Source organism: Homo sapiens, chromosome 8 (assembly GCF_000001405.40).
Source record: "Homo sapiens chromosome 8, GRCh38.p14 Primary Assembly".
In the NCBI taxonomy this organism is placed as follows: domain Eukaryota; kingdom Metazoa; phylum Chordata; class Mammalia; order Primates; family Hominidae; genus Homo; species Homo sapiens.
The window spans coordinates 65,270,328-65,277,330 of NC_000008.11; the positions used below are offsets into that span (position 1 = coordinate 65,270,328).

Sequence of the window (7,003 nt, forward strand, 5' to 3'; positions counted from 1 at the left end):
TAGTGGCTCATGCTTTAATTCCAGCATTTGGGAGGCTAAGGAGGGAGGATCATTTTAGCCCAGGAGCTCAAGACCAGCCTGGGCAACACAGTGAGACTCTGTCTCTACAAACAATGTAAAATTAGCAGTTTGAGGCTGCAGTGAGCCCTAATTGCACCACTGCACTCCAGCCTGGGCAAGATCAAGACTCTGTCTCTAGAGAAATAAAAAATGGAAAAAATAACAAATAAGCAAAACAGAGTCCCTGGACTCAAAATCTAAGAGAGGCAGATATAGATGCAAACAAACTAGGGCTGGGTGCTAGGTGCAGTGACAGGAAAAGCTGGAGGTGCAGCAAGAGTAACCAGAAGGGGCAGTTTATCAAGACATACGGAGACAGAATCAGGACAGGCTTTCTGGACAGGTCAAAGCCCATGATGACCCATAATGAGAGAAGTTGGACACTATGGCTTGACTTGCACCGGCACCTGTGTACTCAGGACAAAAAGATGGATAGGTAACTCTGGATCTCCAGAGGTCAGTAGAGACCTCAAGGGGGGACCAATGCACACAAAGCGGCTCCAGGTAGGACCACAGGCAGCTGTGGGACTGCAAGGACTGAGCCACACCTCGTTAGTCAGTGCTGATCAACCTCATGGTTCACTTGTATATTCTTTACTCAAGAGACCTATTTTTTTTTTAAGTCCAAGACATAAAAACTATAACATAACAAAAAGACTTATAACAATACTATCCCAAGTTCTGGGGAGGAGGGGTCCTTTTTTCGGTGTATTCCATGGGTTCCCTCCTAGCAGGCAGAGCGAGGGAGACTTCCTGCTTCTCTCCACAAAACAGCAGCAGCAATGACAACCCAACGACGAGTCCAGCCCTCAGAGTTGGGCCCTCATAGTGCCAGGTGACAGGGACAGGGAAACCATGGGAAACAGCTGGGGATCCTGATTTAAATCTCCCCATTTCAGCTTCGATCCCTAAATAATTGTTTTTTCCACCTTGTTATTTTACCCGTCCTAGTCATTGGCCACAAGAGAAAGAATGAGGCTCCCAGGAGGTGCGTAGGTTCTTGATGCACCCCTGCACCCCAGAATATCCGTTAGACCTTCTTAACCTGCAAAGCTGGCTCATTGCTATTGTCAGGTCAGGAGGTACAAAGCGGGACACAGGAAGCAGAACCTCCAGGCTACAGTGAAGATGAAAAAGGAGGACGGGGGAGGAGAGGAGGAGAGGAGGTCACCTACAGTGTCCTGTTTGAGAGGCTGGAGCCCACGGCTGAGTGTTATTTTAGAATTTGGTATGTTTTGCCAGCGCAGCATTGCCTGCCCGCCGTCACCCCCTACCAGGGGGGAATTAGGCTAATTATGTCTCCAGGCAGGTATTCCCCTAGTTAAGGGAACACAGAAATAAGTAGGAAAGTTGGTATAGATGGGAAACTGTGAGCCACAAAAGGACAGCACCTCGAAGGCCTGTGCTCCCCAGAGCCTTTGTGTCCACATTTCAGAATGAACCATGAGAAGCAGGACAGAGAGGACTCTAAATGGGGTCAGTGAGGAGGCTCACACAGTACAGGTGTCAGAGCTGGAAAGAACCTTGGTCAGCTCATCTAGTCCCAATCTCCTTTATTTACACATGAGGAAACTGAGGACTCAAGACATGACAAGGCTTGCCTAACATCTCCCAGTGGGAGAAGAACGGTATATACCCTATTGCCAAACTTTCTGCCCAAAGCTCTTTTTACAACACCATCATGCTCCAATTGCTCGCCACCCTGAATTTGATTGCTAGGGCTGCCATAATGAAGTGCCTCATACTGGGTGGCTTAAACAACAAGAATTTATTTCCTCACAGTTCTGGAGGCTGGAAGTCCATGATGGAGGTGCCAGCAGGGTTGGTTTCTCCTGAGGCCTCTCCCCTTGGCTTGCAGATGGCCGCTGTCCCCCTATCTTTACATGTTCTTCCCTCTGTGCGTGTCTAGGACTACATTTCCCATTGTTATTAAAGTCACCCACCATATTGGATTAGGGTCTGCCTACTAAATTCATTTTAACCAAATCACCTCTTTTAAGGCCCTATCTCCAAACCTGGGCCCATTCTGAAGTACTGGGGGTTAGGACTTCACCATGTGAAGGAGGGGGAAATTCAGCCCCTATTACCCCTACAGCCTTTCCTCAGTTCCTTTTCCGTAACTTACTTTACTGGTGCCACACAACCCTGTCGCTCTGATGAAAGTCAATTAGACAGGGACCACTGAGCATCCGGAGTTTGATCTCCTGCAAGCCCAGATGCCCATAAAGCTGTTGGTTGTGACGTCCCCACCCAGTAGGGGCAATAAGCTGGACCAATCCAGGCTCTTTCTTGGGCAGTTTGAATGGAGACATGCAGAGAACTCTAAGTAGGATCTCAATGAAGCAGAAGCAAAAGAAGAGCCAAGGCCACAGAACGGCAAGCACAGGAGCCGACCCACAGCCCTGCTGCCACTGAAGACAGAGAAAGCCTGGACACCAGACCCGGCTGGACTGCAGATGAGAGTCCAGCGACCAAACTGCTCAGCCTTGGTAAGGCCTGCATACAGCGGGGCCTTGCTTCTGAGGCTGCCAGTGTATGATCTTCCTTATCTCCAGTAGCATCCTGATGTTAAAAACCCAACTGACAAATCAATGAAACCAATACTTGGGGGAACAATGGTAAACCAAATGTTCTGACTCTAGATCACCCTTTAATTTTCTGTCTGGGAAATGCGTGTTTCCTGGGACAAAGAAAAAACTCAGGCATAGGCTTTCTCTTTTCTCTGAGACTGTGAAAGTTCCAAGGGGTTGAAACAGAGCTGAAATCACCCTGCTTCTCCCTGAAACAAGGATAAATAAGAAGCAAGAGACCAGAGAAGCAAAGTCTAAAATGCCCACATCATTGTGGGCTGCTTTCTTTCTAGTTGAATTCTGAATTGTATACAAAATAAGCCTGAGTTTAAATGCACTGGAAAGAAGGAAGAACGGTGATTCCTTCAGCAAACGTTCCGTGAATGCCCTCCCTACCTGTACTCCTCACTTATCTTTTGAGAACATTTCACAACAGAGGAGTTTCAAGAGTCTCACATCATTTATAGATTAAGGCATCAACCAATTGGATGATGCTCACCTGCCAGGCACTGGGCAGATCTTCCCTACTCAGTTCACTGATTCGAATGCTAATCTCTTCCAGAAAACACCCTCACAGGCACACCCAGAAATGGTGTAGCAGCTACCTGGGCATCTCTTAGCCCAGTCAATTATACACATAAAAATAGCCATCACAGCCTTTACATGACAATCACCTATATACAGCCTTTACATGATTGTACATTTAGCTTTTTAAGCAGTTAAAGCTCAACATTTGCCATTTCATTCAAAGGAGTGCTCTTTTTAAACATTTCTTTATAATTTCCCTGTTTAGATTAAACCCTCTGTTTCTTTGCCCATTTCAGTCATTCTACTCTAGACTTACTTCAATTTGTTTTTCTCTTTCTAATAGCCATGACCCCCAAATACACAACAAGGTTTCAGAATCATTCGGTGCAAGCCCCTCTGCAGTAGAAATCAGGTCCCTGGTTTTTGTTTTATTTCCCCCAACACCGAGTACAGTGCCCCTCACACGGAAGGCAGGCACAAATATCTTCTGACTCATTTCTTTATTCAGGCTATTTGTGGCAGAAGGGCCATTTCTCCCCCAGGGCAATGAGACTCTTCACCTATCTCACATGGAAACACTAAGATTCTGGACTTCTCTTACCTTTTAAACAATGGTTAGTTACGTTACTGCCCCTTGCAATAGTGTATGTTGTTGACCTGAAGCCGCATGGAGGCTACCAATTCACATCTCATCCCTGAGTCTTTTCATCAGCTCTGGAAAAAAACCAAATATGTAACATAAATTCCTCTCTGACCCAAAACTCAACTGCCAATGGAGGAAATGGAAGTTCGTCAGAAAAACATTTTAACCTTGGCTCTTCTTCCTCTAGCAACTTAGATAACCCTAGATCAAGCCTTCCTTTTCAGAATTAACAATTTCTTGCCAAGAAATTCCCCAAGAGGCTTCACAGGCAAAACCGGACAATAGCTGATGAGGCTGCTGCAGGGTTACCTGAGCAAATACATACTGCATCTCCTATGGGAGAGGGTTCGGGGAATAGGGAGAAGCCTGTGTGGATGAAAAAAGAAAAAAGGTGACTTTTTCTAATCACTTCTAAGTATTCCTTTTTTGTAAAACAGTTTAGCTGTTAACTTCTATGCTAAGGCACGTATGCACTTTGGAAAGGTAATTTGAGAGCGAGTTGAGCCATGACAAATAGGGACAGCTGGCCTAATTGAATCATTTGATCTAAGACAGCTCAACTTGGTTATCCTCACTGCAGCCCACACTGATATTAGGGAGTGAATCATTAGCCATGAAATCATGTCGACTTTCCCGACTGCAGCGTTCTTGACATGACAGCAATCGCAACCTGCCTTTCATTAGAGCCCCAATAAGTTCTTTACTCTGTCAGGAAAACAAGAGAGCAGCTTGGGAAACTTTTAGGCTCAGCCTCAGAAAGTCATTTGCTCCCACATGCCACGGAGAGCATTTCAAAGCAAGGCAGGGGATGAGTTGGCTGCAGGAACAAGAAAGCTTACCCAGGCGAAGTGCATGCAAGCTTCTTCAGTGCCCACACCTGCTGTTCCAATGTAACAGCAGCCTGATTTTTGTAAGCAACAATTTGTAATCCCTTGGGAAAGTGGGAAAGTGGGGTCATGATAAAATACTTTAACACTTGACCCACAGACATCCCTAATAAGAATCTTCATGTATGTCAGACTTTCCTGTCATCTTTAATTTACTTTTCGCAAAAGGAAGGGGCAAATTCCTCTTTTCACTGGGTTTGTCAAAGGCAGTGAGGCATTTAAGAGAGCTCAAGAGGAGAGGCTTGTCCATTGAAATGCAGAATAAGCCCTTGGGTGCATACAGCACTGAAGGTGCTGCATCCTTAACTTACTCTCCTACAAGTAGAGGCCTTCTTTAGGTCCCCCTCTCAAAACTGCACCTGAGAGACATTAGCCTCCATTCCTTTGCAAGCAGAGCCTGAGTCAAATATTGTGAGGACCAAGAGAAGTGAGGCAGGGAAGCAGAGAAAGCCAATGCAGGGTACATCAGCCTCTGACTTGAGCAACTCTCCTGGATCTTGCTGGAGCCTTCGAGGAGCCCATGAAAGGCAGCTGGAACTGTTGGCTGAGGAAGAAAGGAGGAAGCACTTACTCTCTTGCGCCTGCTCTCCATTGGTTAAAGACGGCCCCACAGAGGTAGACTCCTTGTGCCTCTAGGTTACATGTGTGAGTGATGAGTCACTTCTCTCAGCCTCAGCAACACCCAGGACCCTGCAGTCTCAGGCAAGGCACTGTCCCATTGTTGTGCCCAAGGCTGGCCAAAGCCTCCCTAGAACTGGCCTGGTGGTACAAGAGGTGGGCCAATAAGATTTTGAAGAAATTATAATGATAAAGAGTTAGGAAAAACAGGAAAAAATGTAGCTTGGATGGAGTTCATGGCAGGTAAATTGTAGACAAAGTAGTACATTCAAAGATTTGAAAAAAGTCATAATAATGACATTTGCAGATAACATTTATGCTGAAAATACCAACAAATTTAGGATGGAATATAGCCAAGACCGAGAAACAAGAATTGATAAAGCTCACATTCACAGCCATCTAAACAGTAGGTGAATCTGGAAAGCAATGACAGAAACTCCTTAAAACGAATGTTGAGTTGGTAAGCATGCCAGTGCTGTATGTGTGGGTGTGTGTGGGTGTGTACACGCATGTGTGTGTGGGTACAACAGTCTGAACTGTAAAATTTCAGAGCTGGAAAACAACGTCAAAGTCATCTTCTCCAAATTCTCTGTCATTACATATAGGAAAATCGAGCAACTTCAAATTCCACTGCTTGGTGGTGGCAGAGTTGACTCCTAAAACTAGACCACACTGTGCTTTCAAACCAACTTGAACCAAACAACCAGTTTCACTGTATGACGAGAGCGGTGGCAAACAGTGATTTGACGTTGAGACCTGGTCATTTTGTAACACCCCATGCCTCCACACAACAAAAATATTTCATAGTAATCATGACAGGAAACAAGGATAACAGCCAGAAAAGAATTGCAGACAATGAAAAAATTTTAATGTACTCTATATGTAATTGTGCCAGTAAAAAATTAAAGCTTTAAAATTTAAATAAATATTACTACAGTACAAAAAGAAAAAATGCAGAACTATGTATTCAATTGTTTTTTAATAGAACTAGTCATCTGAATTTGATCCACTGGTCACAGTTTGATATAATAATATTTTATGTAAATCATTGTCCATAACTAATTTGTAAATTTTAATAAAACCAAAATGTCTGCAATAGGTGAAATTTAGGAATTTACTAAACAGTGCCGCTTATGTAGCTTTTTATTTTCCTGATTTTGTAATAGTTTTAAAGCAATGAACTATTTTAAAGGAATAAATTTTAATTTTAAATGTATCTTCAAATTCAGTAAAACATTTCATGCCGAACTAAATTTGCCCTTACCAACAAAAATCTTACACTTGTTATTGGCACTCAGTTTTACTGTTTTAAAATGTAAGTACAAATAAAAACTCCAAGAAACCACATAGATTGTTAGAGTTAAACTCAAGCTCTCTTCCTTCATCTTGGCAATCATAATGCTCTCACTGCTTATTTCTAATCTATGATTGATTAACCCTTTCCCAGGGACCAGCACACAAACTCTACCCAAGGCAAGCCAGAGAACTCAAGTCATTTCTCCTGAAATGAGCATGTTGCAGAGTCTACATGTGTTGGCCTTACTGTATAACCAGGAATTCTTTAACTTCTGTGTAGAATATCATGTTAATAAGAATAAGAACAATATGCCAATTTAGCTGTGTTTTGACTTTGGGTTAGGCAGTTTTACTTAGATATGACAACAAAAGCATATATGACAAAAGATAAGATACACTCC

General features: G+C 43.7%; 1 annotated feature.

Moving 5' to 3' along the window:
• Window positions 4,503-5,302: an enhancer, noted in NCBI's record as "OCT4-NANOG hESC enhancer chr8:66187065-66187864 (GRCh37/hg19 assembly coordinates)". NCBI's record gives its function as "activates a minimal SCP1, AML or CMV promoter by ChIP-STARR-seq in naive H9 embryonic stem cells {active_cell/tissue: H9 hESC(naive)}" and the evidence as "EXISTENCE:reporter gene assay evidence [ECO:0000049][PMID:30033119]".